This window comes from Homo sapiens, chromosome 1, assembly GCF_000001405.40.
Source record: "Homo sapiens chromosome 1, GRCh38.p14 Primary Assembly".
In the NCBI taxonomy this organism is placed as follows: Eukaryota; Metazoa; Chordata; class Mammalia; order Primates; family Hominidae; genus Homo; species Homo sapiens.
This window is the reverse complement of record NC_000001.11, coordinates 169995410-170008450: the sequence shown is the minus strand read 5'-3', so window position 1 is coordinate 170008450 and position 13041 is coordinate 169995410. Positions and strand designations below refer to the sequence as shown.

Below are 13041 nucleotides of genomic sequence, written 5' to 3'. Positions count from 1 at the left end.
CTTTTTGATGGGGTTGTTTGTTTTTTTCTTGTAAATTTGTTGAAGTTCCTTGTAGATTCTGGATATTAGCCCTTTGTCAGATGGATAGATTGCAAAAATTTTCTCCCATTCTGTAGGTTGCCTGTTCACTCTGATGATAGTTTCTTTTGCTGTACAGAAGCTCTTTAGTTTAATTAGATCCCGTTTGTCAATTTTGGCTTTTGTTGCCGTTGCTTTTGGTGTTTTAGTCATAAAGTCTTTGCCCATGTCTATGTCCTGAACGGTATTGCCTAGGTATTGTTCTAGAGTTTTTATGGTTTTAGGTCTTACGTTTAAGTCTTTAATCCATCTTGAGTTAATATTTGTATAAGGTGTAAGGAAGGGGTCCAGTTGTAGTTTTCTGCATATGGCTAGCCAGTTTTCCCAACACCATTTATTAAATAGGGAATCCTTTCCCCATTGTATGTTTTTGTCAGGTTTGTCAAAGATCAGATGGTTGTAGATGTTTGGCATTATTTCTGAGGCCTCTGTTCTCTTCCATTGGTCTATATATCTGTTTTGGTACGAGTACCATGCTGTTTTGGTTACTGTAGCCTTGTAGTATAGTTTGAAGTCAGGTAGTGTGATGCCTCTAGCTTTGTTCTTTTTGCTTAGGATTGTCTTGGCTATATGGGCTCTTTTTTGGTTCCATATGAAATTTAATGTAGTTTTTTTCTAATTCTGTGAAGAAACTCATTGGTAGCTTGATGGGGTAGCATTGAATCTATAAATTACTTTGGGTAGTATGGCCATTTTCACAATATTGATTCTTCTATCCATGAGCGTGGAATGTTTTTCCATTTGTTTGTGCCCTCTCTTATTTCGTTGAGCAGTGGTTTGTAGTTCTCCTTGAAGAGGTCCTTCACATCCCTTTTAAGTTGTATACCTAGATGTCTTATTCTCTTCGTAGCAATTGTAAAATAGATTATTTTTCACTGTCACTTCTTTTACCTTCTAGTTACCATGTTATTTCTTTTCTTCCCATTTCAACTCTCCTCAAAAGAGTTATCTTCATTTCCTGTCTTCATTTTCCCTCTTCCCTTTCATATATATTAATATGCCCTCTCTCCCTATTCTTTATCTCTTTCTGTTTCTCTTTCCCTATCTGCCCATCTCCCTCTCTGTCTCCCTCTTCCCACTTCCTTCTATTCTCTCCTCTTTCTGTCCCCTCCCCTCATTGTTTTACACACTACTGAATCTTTTCCAATCAGGCTGTCACTCCCACCCTTCACCTCCCACACAAACACCCCATCACACTACTCTGGTCAAGTTCCAGTGACCTGCACATTGCCAAAGCCAATGGTCAATTCCTAGTACTCATATTACTCAACCTATGAGCAGTATTTGTTACAGTTCCCTCCTTCTTTAACTTTTTCCATTGGTTTTCCAGGACTCAGTACTCTTAATAGCTTTCCTCCTAAATATCCAGTCGTTCTCAGTCTCCTTTTCTGCTTCCACCTCTTCTTTACAATTTCTAAGCATTAGAATGCCCCCAGGGCTTAGTCCTTGGACTTTATCTATGCTTACTACTTTGCTGACTTCATTCATTCCATTTAAATACTCTGCCTATACGGATGTCTTCTAAATAGCAATAGAAATAATCTCAGCCTCCTCCCTGATTTTGTTGGTCCAGATATTACTCCTTGGATGCCTTATTAGCATCTGAGATTTAACAGGTTCAAAATTAAGCTCCCGATCTCTGCCCTACCCTCACCTCAATTTACTATTTTCACTGTCTTTCTCATGTCAGTAAATGGTAACTTCATCTTTTAGTTAACTGGACCAAAACTGGCAGAGTTATCCTCAGCCCTTCTCTTTCCCTCCTGTGCTTTATCCAAACTCTTAGGAATCCAGTCAGCTCTATCTTCAAAATATAGCTGCTACCCCATAGTACTTAATCATCATTGGATATAAATTCCATGTAATCATCTTGTTTACTACCTGTGCACCACCCACCTCCCCTATCCACCCTCCAGGCCCCAGCAACATAAGCTCTATGACAATATGGAGTTCCATCAGTCTCAGCCAATGTGTAGGAAGAGGCAGATGAATAATATTGAACCACCATTAGCATGGCACTTCTTTACTTCACTTCTTTACTCCTAATACCTAGAACAATGTCTAGCACATTGTATGTTCTCAATAAATATTTGGTGGGTGGTTAGAGGGATGAATGCATGAAAGGATGAAAGGAACACATGAAAGGAAGGAACATCAAAGGAGCTGAGCTTGAGTCTTCCCTTTGCCCTTTATTACCTGAGTGACTTTAGGCAAGTCAGTTGATCTTCACTGAACCTTTCGTCTTATTTAGAAAGTTAGGGGATAAAATAGGTCCTATTCTGATAAAATAGGTTTGTTCTGAGAATCAGATGAGAGAATAAACATATATTTTCTTGATAACTAGAAAGTCGTATACAAATGTTAGTCATGATAAGGAGGGAGAAAAGGAAGGGAAAGACTCGAGGGGGCTAATGGTTGCCAAATGAGAGATCAGGGACACAGAAAACAGTTTTCTTCACAGTTTTGAGTATTTCTAGACCTGGGTATACAGGGTTTTTTTTTTAATTTTATTATTATTGTACTTTAAGTTTTAGGGTACATGTGCACAACGTGCAGGTTTGTTACATATGTATACATGTGCCATGTTGGTGTGCTGCACCCATTAACTCGTCATTTAGCATTAGGTATATCTCCTAATGCTATCCCTCCCCCCTCCCCCCACCCCACAACAGTTCCCGGTGTGTGATGTTCCCCTTCCTGTGTCCATGTGTTCTCATTGTTCAATTCCCACCTATGAGTGAGAACATGCAGTCTTTGGTTTTTTGTACTTGCGATAGTTTGGTGAGAATGATGGTTTCCAGCTTCATCCATGTCCCTGCAAAGGACATGAACTCATCATTTTTTATGGCTGCATAGTGTTCCATGGTGTATATGTGCCACATTTTCTTAATCCAGTCTATCATTGTTGGACATCTGGGTTGGTTCCAAGTCTTTGCTATTGTGAATAGTGCCGCAATAAACATACATGTGCATGTGTCTTTATAGCAGCATGATTTATAATCCTTTGGGTATATACCCTGTAATGGGATGGCTGGGTCAAATGGTATTTCTAGTTCTAGATCCCTGAGGAATCACCAGACTGTCTTCCACAATGGTTGAACTAGTTTACAGTCCCACCAACAGTGTAAAGTGTTCCTATTTCTCCACATCCTCTCCAGCACCTGTTGTTTCCTGACTTTTTAATGATCGCCATTCTAACTGGTGTGAGATGGTATCTCATTGTGGTTTTGATTTGCATTTCTCTGATGGCCAGTGATGATGAGCATTTTTTCATGTGTTTTTTGGCTGCATAAATGTCTTCTTTTGAGAAGTGTCTGTTCATATCCTTTGCCCACTTTTTGATGGGGTTGTTTGTTTTTTTCTTGTAAATTTGTTTGGGTTCATTGTAGATTCTGGATATTAGCCCTTTGTCAGATGAGTAGGTTGCGAAAATTTTCTCCCATTCTGTAGGTTGCCTGTTCACTCTGATGGTAGTTTCTTTTGCTGTGCAGAAGTTCTTTAGTTTAATTAGATCCCATTTGTCAATTTTGGCTTTTGTTGCCATTGCTTTTGGTGTTTTAGACATGAAGTCCTTGCCCATGCCTATGTCCTGAATGGTATTGCCTAGGTTTTCTTCTAGGGTTTTTATGGTTTTAGGTCTAACATTTAAGTCTTTAATCCATCTTGAATTAATTTTTGTATAAGGTGTAAGGAAGGGATCCAGTTTCAGCTTTCTACATATGGCTAACCAGTTTTCCCAGCACCATTTATTAAATAGGGAATCCTTTCCCCATTGCTTGTTTTTCTCAGGTTTGTCAAAGATCAGATAGTTGTAGATATGCGGCATTATTTCTGAGAGCTCTGTTCTGTTCCATTGGTCTATATCTCTGTTTTGGTACCAGTACCATGCTGTTTTCGTTACTGTAGCCTTGTAGTATAGTTTGAAGTCAGGTAGCATGATGCCTCCAGCGTTGTTCTTTTGGCTTAGGATTGACTTGGCAATGCGGGGTCTTTTTTGGCTCCATATGAACTTTAAAGTAGTTTTTTCCAATTCTGTGAAGAAAGTCATTGGTAGCTTGATGGCGATGGCATTGAATCTATAAATTACCTTGGGCAGTATGGCCATTTTCACAATATTTATTCTTCCTACCCATGAGCATGGAATGTTCTTCCATTTGTTTGTATCCTCTTTTATTTCACTGAGCAGTGGTTTGTAGTTCTCCTTGAAGAGGTCCTTCACATCCCTTGTAAATTGCATTCCTAGGTATTTTATTCTCTTTGAAGCAATTGTGAATGGGAGTTCACTCATGATTTGGCTCTCTGTCTGTTATTGGTGTATAAGAATGCTTGTGATTTTTGCACATTGATTTTGTATCCTGAGACTTTGCTGAAGTTGCTTATCAGCTTAAGGAGATTTTGGGCTGAGACAATGGGGTTTTCTAGATATACAATCATGTCATCTGCAAACAGGGACAATTTGACTTCCTCTTTTCCTAATTGAATGCCCTTTATTTCCTTCTCCTGCCTGATTGCCCTGGCCAGAACTTCCAACACTACATTGAATTGGAGTGGTAAGAGAGGGCATCCCTGTCTTGTGCCAGTTTTCAAAGGGAATGCTTCCAGTTTTTGTCCATTCAGTATGATATTGGCTGTGGTTTTGTCATAGATAGCTCTTATTATTTTGAATACGTCCCATCAAGCTCGAACTGGGTGGAGCCCACCACAGCTGAAGGAAGCCTGCCTGCCTGCCTCTGTAGGCTCCACCTCTGGGGGCAGGGCACAAACAGACAAAAGGCAGCAGTAACCTCTGCAGACTTAGATGTCCCTGTCTGACAGCTTTGAAGAGATTAGTGGTTCTCCCAGCAGGCAGCTTGAGATCTGAGAACGGGCAGACTGCCTCCTCAAGTGCGTCCCTGACTCCCGAGTAGCCTAACTGGGAGGCACCCCCCAGTAGGTGTGGACTGACACCTCACACGGCCGGGAGGATTTGTTATAGAGGGTTTGTTTTAAACATTGAAATAGCACCTTAATTTCACTTATATTTTATAGCTTTCTCATGTATCAGTGAATTCAGGGCAGGAATCTTCTAATACAGTGATACTCAAAGTATGGTCCACAGAGCAATACTTGGTCTATTTGTTATTGGTTGTTACTGGTCTATAATGAGTAAGTCCAAAAATTGAAAGTAAGCACTTAGACACATATAGCAGTTTGACTGAATAAGATTTTGTCTGCTGAATGTAATAATAAAAATTTGCATCTTCTATTTTATATATCTTTTGTTTAATTTCATTTTTATTGTACTTTAATAAAAATGTTAGGGGAAGAAATGAAAAAACCTGGCTCACCACCACAGATAGTTTGAGAACCACTGTTCAAATAGATGAAATGGCAGTCTTAATCCTAGGTTAGTAAACTGTTCTTTAAACGTATTCAGAAGTCCATATAATTAGAACCCAGTATCACAGAATTACCCTGCCTTGGGATACCTCCTTAGCTCATTTATAAGCAGAGATGAGAATGTTTCTCATCCTTAAAAACTGAGGAATTAGTAGTGTTACCAATAGATGTTGCTAAGCTTTTCTATACTTAGAATAAGTGAATATTCATCTGGTGTACTTGTGTTAAGCATTTTCATATATAATTTATAAACCTATGCAAATTAACTAAAAAAGTTAATAGCTCTGACATATTTCTTAAAGTTATCTTTTAATCAGCAGAGCCACCCTGGTCAGTGATAAACGTATGGCACTGAAAGCTACTAGTATGAAGGTTTGAGCCATCATTTAAATTTTGATTCTGAGTTCTACCTGTGTAAATTTTGATTCTTCTAACTTTAAGAGTTTTAAATCTGTGCCAGTTTGCATGGCTGGCTTGTGCAGAAACTAATGTTATTGGTTATGACAGGAAAATTGGGACTCCTAAATTCAATAGCACATCAGGCCTGTTTCACAATTTTATGTGAATAATTTCAAAAGGTCTAATTTTTAGTCAGTAATGTTAGACCATATTGTCTTCATTGGAAGACAAATTAGAGTTTCTAAGGTGTTCCATATTGATATAAATGTTTCTCTATTCTGTGAGTAGACCCAAAATTGATTTTGAGAGTAAGAATGGCACCTGATTCATTTTTGTCTAGATTACATTTAGGTAATATGGGTTTGGGGCATTTTACAGAGCTGTAGAACAGTTTCATCAGCATGTAAGGAGTCAGACCAGGTCAAGAGTTAAGTGACAAATGTTTGATTTCTTCCGGTTTAGACAAGTCTGATTTCCCTTATTTTTGGAGATCACCAGAGCAGATACTGTTGAACTCTAAACTTTGATCATATAAAAACTAAGGGTTATTTCCTTTGACCATTCTGTCATATGTCTTTAAAAGAAAATTGACAAAGTTAACTTCTGAACACCTTTGAAATTTTTCCACAATTTTAAATTCACTTATTTACTTTATATTAATATGATCTAACTTTTAATTTACCAACAGCATCATAAAGAATGAAAAAATGAAACTTTATTTTGTGAAGAAAGCAACATTTTGCCTTTTCTGACTTATTAAAAACTGTTTGGAAATGGTCAGAATAATGATTTCCAAGCAAAATGAAGTGTTTTCCATTTTTTTGAAACTAGGTTGCCTTTATGATAGTTTCTTTAAGAAACTTAAAGTAGATTTTTTAAAAAATAAATTGGTTTGGTTGTTCTGTTTATTACCGAACTGTTATGGAATTTCACACATCTGTTTCAGAACACAACTCCTCATAGACTACTACACTGTTTCTCAATTTTAATAGGCCTCATTTATCCTATAAATAAACCTACATTTTCTTACCTGATCAAGTGAGCAAACAATAGGGGTCAGAAGTGGCAAACAGTTTAACAGAAAGCACATGTCTCGCCGTCAGGGTGAGGTAGACTCATATCAAGATTGCTTGAAGTTATTAATGGCAGTAAAATTTATGCTTCCTCCTGTTTTCCCAATTAAATCAAGAAGCCTTTTTTCTTAAGATTCTTCTGTCACCAGCTGGTTCCAATACTGTGTGTGTGTGAATATTGCCTAGGGTGTCTCCATTTCTAGATGGTAAAATTTGGCCAAAGCATATTAAGTCAATGATTTGGACATACAGGCTAGAAAGCAGTCATTGTTAAGGGCTTTATTTTGATCCTTATCATTTGTACCACAAGTATGTGTATTCTTTAGATCTTATTGCAAATAACTTGTATTCTATGGATGTAATAAAAATTCTACAGAAGACATAATAAAATAATTGAAGATATGATGAAAAATAAGCTGTGTGGCAAAATGTACAGTTGTACATACTAAAACAAATGAAAATCTATCAAAAATGTTCTATATAAGAGTACTCATTTAGTGACTATCTCTAAAAACAATGTTTAGCTTACTGGTAGATCTGCAATGTTAGTTTCTCATACTTTTAAAATTAAATAATTGGACATAAAAAATTACTTATCCGTGAACCACTGTACCTCAGAAACTATTGTTGTACTTAATGTTTTCATACTGATCTTTGTAACCTATAAATTATGTTATTTTTTCCCCTTAACTGTTGGTTAACAACTGTTGGTTTTTATCTGTTCATCTCAAATCTCGACTATAGACAAATATATTATAAAAGAGATCATCCAATGTAGTTACAGTCTTAAACATTGGTCTGTGCAAATTCAAGTTTAAACTAAGGCTATCTGTTTATATTGAGTATATATCTGCAGTATATGCTCTAATAAGTTAAGCATAAAATTATATGGAAACATGTATCAAAGATGTTCTGATATAGCTTCAATGTGTTTTTAGTCTATGTCAGTGTGTAGTTAACATGTTCAATAATTGTTGCAATTATCTTTTAAGTGGTGGTTTTCACCTGTGGCATTTTCACTGTATTGATAGAACTTTAGGGGCTCTCACTCCGTAATAAATGTAAAGACACCTGCAAATTTTGAAGCACGTTGTATTCATATAGACTTTCCAGGGGTAATATATCACCTTAATGCTATTCTATCCTAATATAGGTGTGCTTATATTCCCACTTCTATTATCTTTTCATGGAGCCTCTGTGACATCAAAGGGAGTGTTCCACTTTGAAAGAAGAAGACATAGAGTATAGAAGGGAATGAGAATCTGGCTAATAATGTGGCCCATAACTTGTGTTCTCACTTTGTTTTCACAGTGTTGGGCTGGATCTACTGCAGAAGCGGAAATTTGGCTTTTGAGTTCTCATGTTCAGAACTCGTATTTCTGCTTGACTGAACTGTGAATGAAAAATCCCAAGTGTCTTACAAAATTAGTAATTGAATGGTGTTTTTACTGATCACTTCACAGATGAAAAAACTGAAGACATTTTAAAATTCAAAACCCATCAGCATGTGTTTTGCCCTTTAATTGGCAGAAAATCGATTGTGAGAGCAGCCCAGAGAGCTGATAGTTTTTTCTCCTTCAGCTGCTCCAGCTGAACTACAGCTGTAAATTTCTTTAAAAAGAAAAAAAGATGCAATGTTTCTTATAAACTCTTGAATGTACTTTATAAGTGCAATAATTCCCACAAAATCAGTTACTGGAGTTAATGACCAGTTTGTTAAGGCATTAACTGCCCTCAGCTGGGAATGACCAATTTGAGGGGAATGGCTGCACAAATGCTAAGATAATTCAGTAACACTTTCAAATAATGATCCAGCTAATTAACGGTGAATTCCTGTGGAAATCCTATCGAAGTACTTATGACCTCTGCGTTTAATAGCCAGTGAGTTCATCATGATTCATGTTTATTACCATAAATACCAAAGGAATCATAATGACTAGGCCATTTTTTTTCTACCCTGCCCTTATTACTTGAACAGATTTAACTAATCCACCTCCAGTCATTAAGAACCTAGTTCTCAAGATACTCAGTCTTTTCACTGCCCTTGCTTAAAATTCACAGTCTTTGGTGCTGTGCCAGCATGCTGACTGTTGGCAGCCTGTTTTTACTTGGGATGCCGTTAGGGAATAATTGATGTCTTTATGTCTTAAAGGAGCCTTTTTGAAATGTCTACCATTTGTAGGATGTAGAGGAATCATAGCCGGTTAGCTACAGTTTATGGCTTCTAGTCATGAATTCTTACGAGAAAATCATACCCTCCAATCCTCATTTCTTGTAGGAATTCACTTAGGGTATATAAGATTTTTTTTCTTGAGCTTTATTTTGTAAGAACTCAGATGTTCTTTCTTTCAGTGAATGAAGAAGACTATTAGTTTACAATAAAAGATAAGCTCTTTATTTTACTTAGACCATTTAATCTCTCTAATAGCTGTTTATTGCTATGTGATCTGCAAATTAGCCTTTAAGTCGTAATATTAAATGTTGGCTGCCAAAGAGTCTTTACTTTCTTTGCAGACCTGTGTTTGAATAGATGAATTCAGGTTATTGCCAGACATCTTCCCCCTCCACGTACTCAATTTTGTTCTAAAATGCCTTGTCTTTTTGTTGTAGGTTCCAGATATCTGCTAGATGCCGTGAAGTTATAGGCTGCATTTTTATTAAGTATTGATTATTTATGTAATCATTTATGATTCAGTGAATAAGATACATATGGTTTATATACTGTAGTCTTCATATATTGAAATTATTTAGAAGAGAAAGAAAATATGTGATTTGTAACTGTAGGATAGAACTAGAATCATCAAGATAATATGTGGGTAACAAGACCGTTTATAAAATATTTACGTATTTTTCTGAATAAAAGGCCAAATGCCAGTTTATATCTTTTTCATTCCCTAATTACAAAAAGGGGGGGAATTAAATTTATAGTTATTTGTAAATCAGTTGTTTAAATTCTAGGGGAAACTTTACTCACATAAAATCCAGAAGACACATTAGCAACTTGGGTTAGAATATTATAGTCCCTTAGCTCTGTCATCACCTCCTTTCACACTGTTTCCTCAAGAAAAAAAAAAAGTGTGTGTGGTGTGTGTGTGTGTGTGTGTGTGTGTGTGTGTGTGTGTATATATATATATATATATCTGGTGAAGCACTAGTTGTAGTCCGATTTCTTTTGTTCAGTTGTGTTCAGCTAAAACATGGGGAAAACACCTCTGTCATATAGGTTTTATTTGCCTGGGACATGCTGTTTAAAGGTAAATGAAACAGGGTAGCTAATTGTGAGGTTTCTCTTCAGTGTCCTCAGACTTCTGTCTGTTCTTTCGTCTGCTTGATAGCCCATCATCTCCATGACTGTTCCCCACTTTAAGAGTGAAAGTAAGTTCTGTTAAAAGAAGGAAACCTGAAAGGATAAGAGATTTCTGAATGTGTGTGGAGGGGGGTATTGAGAGGGGATCATTTTCTTTACTAAAGTTTTTTTTTTTTTCCATTAAGGGATTTATAACTCTATGAGAGTGAGAGAATGATGATGGGTTCTTATTACATATGGGTCACTGAGTAGAGCCTCAGGTATAAGATGATTCTCCTAAGCCTAAATTTTATGAACAGCAGAGTTTTTTTTTTTTTATCCTTTTTTTTTTCTTTTTTTTTTTTTTTTGAGACGTCTCACTCAGCTGCCCAGGCTGGAGTGGAGTGGTACGATCTCGGCTCACTGCAACCACCATCTCCCAGATTCAAGTGATTCTCACATCTCAGCTTCCTGAGTAGCTGGGATTATAGGCACCTGCCATCATGCCTGGCAAATTTTTATGTTTTAGTAGAGACAGGGTTTCATCATGGTGGCCAGGCTGGTCTTGAACTCCTGACCTCAGGTAATCCACATGCCTCAGCCTCCCAAAGTGCTAAGATTACAGGCATGAACCTCTGTGTCCGGCCAAACAGCAGAGCTTTATAGGAAAATGACTAGGTAGAAAGGTAAGTGGCTCGGCCATAGGCTCAGAGTATACCTCTGAACTGTGTCTAGCTTATCTCAGAAATCTCGGCTGCCTCTCCAACTTACTTTACTTCTAACTACAGTTCAAGTCTTGAGGATAAAAAACACAAAGCATCATATATATTAGGAACACATGATAGTACTGTTGTATTAGTAAAACAGAAAAAATGTTATTGTCAACATAATAATAAGAAATGATATTTATTGAATTGATTTATTGTATGTCAAACTTAGTGCTAATTGCTTTACCAGGATTCTCTCATCTCATCCTCACACAACAACCTTTTCAGGTAGGTACAGTTATTATCCCATTTTTACAGATGATGAAACTGAAACACAGAATTTAAATAACATTCACAAGACTGTATAGCTAATGAGTGGAAGAGCCACAGATTGAACCCGAGCATTCTGCCTCCAGAGCCTGAGCTGTCAGCCAATGTTAGAGTATTGCTTTTATCAGTCTACCTATGTTTTAAGCTTCTAGCACCTTGTTTTTCTCATAAAATCACAGATCGATGCAGTTATTGTCCAATTTAGTGAGAATGAGTTTCAGAACTTAGGCTGCTGTAGGTCTAGTCCTCAAAACTGCTTGGGGGATAATGCAGTTTGCCCCATCAGGAAATTCTTTCATCCATTGGAACCTGCTATATCTGGGCACAGGTCCTCTGAGAAATATCTGATTGCATTTCTCCATTTCATGTCTTCTCTTCACCACTGCCAATCTTCTCACCCTTTTCCCCATGAGTCCCAGGTCCAGCAGATCGTACAGAGTCCCTCTAGATGCATCTCCTTCCTGTACTTCGCCCTAAGGAATGATGATGATAACTTACATTTATTTGGCATTATTGATTTCACTCCCTCTGCTGCCTCCTGGAAGGCTTGGTTAAAAGTACATGCATGAGCTTTATAGTCAGACCTAGGTTTGAATCCCAGATTCACATCTGTGTTTCCTTTTGAAAGGGTCATAGCCTTAGTGAATGTCATTGCCTCATCTCTGAATCAAAGATAATACCTACCCCTTTAATTACTGTAAGGTCTAAATGAGAAAAACTATGTTGAACATGCAATAGGAACAATACCATTGTTTGTTTAACCCATTCTCTTTAACCTTCTCTCAGAGAATTGTGGTATAAGAAAGATTAGTTGTCCATAGCCTTGTGTCCCTAGAGCTTCTCTTAACTTCAGTCCTTTAGTTTTTAGCAAACTTTTGGATATGATGATCATTTTAGATGAATATTATAGGAAATTGGAAACGTATTCAGAGTTTTTTTAATAGAGGATCACAGATCCTCTGTTAAAGCAGGAAGGTGTGGGAGAACTGCAAGGAACTTTCACCTTTGACCATAAGTGTGAAGAGAAAAGGAAAATGAGAAAGTACATAAGAGCAGAATTAGGACTGGCTGCAAAATGAATCATCCTACTTTTGGAAATTAGACGTTTAGTTTCACTATATAAAATTAATATAAATTGTTATATCTGAGAACTGCTTCTTATCTATATTATTCATCTGCCAGTAGAAATTATTATAATTTTTGGACTCTTCTCTGTACTTTCTGTTCTAACAGATACCCTTTATCCTGAGTTTGCCTTTGGAAGCTACACACACACACACAAGCTATATGTATACATACATGTATATAAAATTAATTAGAGAATTTCCCTTGTTATTCTTTTATTTATTTTAATTTTTTTAGCTTCTCCCAATGTTCAGGAATTTCTTGTTCTTTTAATGTAGTACCTATGTTTTAAAGGTGAGTCTTTCCTTCCTCTCACCTTACCTGAATGATGTGCCACCTCAGGACATTGCTTTTTAGAATTTTTTCATTGACATGAGCAGCAGACAGATTCTCCTAGAGTATAGAATAGCTTCCTGTTTCATTCCTAGCCTCACATTGAATTTTAATGTTTGATTATTTACTTTGTTGTTGAAGAATCTTTTATATTGGTTATTGATTTCTCTTTGTTTCTTTTACCATTTAATAAGTTGTATTACTTGGAATCCTACTTTTCAGTGAATCCATTACTAGAGAAAATATCTTCAAATATTTTTTAAAAATTAAGTAAGACTAGGACTTATCCACAGCTGAATGACAGATAGAAAATAACTAGAATCACAGGGAA

General features: G+C 36.7%; 1 protein-coding gene across 10 annotated transcripts in view, besides 1 other annotated feature; it reads left to right on the top strand.

Annotated features, from left to right (window-relative positions):
• KIFAP3 (kinesin associated protein 3) overlaps positions 1 to 13041 on the top strand; it is a 163856-nt gene that overhangs the window by 76734 nt on the left and 74081 nt on the right. The window lies entirely within an intron of this gene.
• Positions 4602 to 5239: an enhancer, noted in NCBI's record as "OCT4-NANOG hESC enhancer chr1:169972353-169972990 (GRCh37/hg19 assembly coordinates)". NCBI's record gives its function as "activates a minimal SCP1, AML or CMV promoter by ChIP-STARR-seq in naive H9 embryonic stem cells {active_cell/tissue: H9 hESC(naive)}" and the evidence as "EXISTENCE:reporter gene assay evidence [ECO:0000049][PMID:30033119]".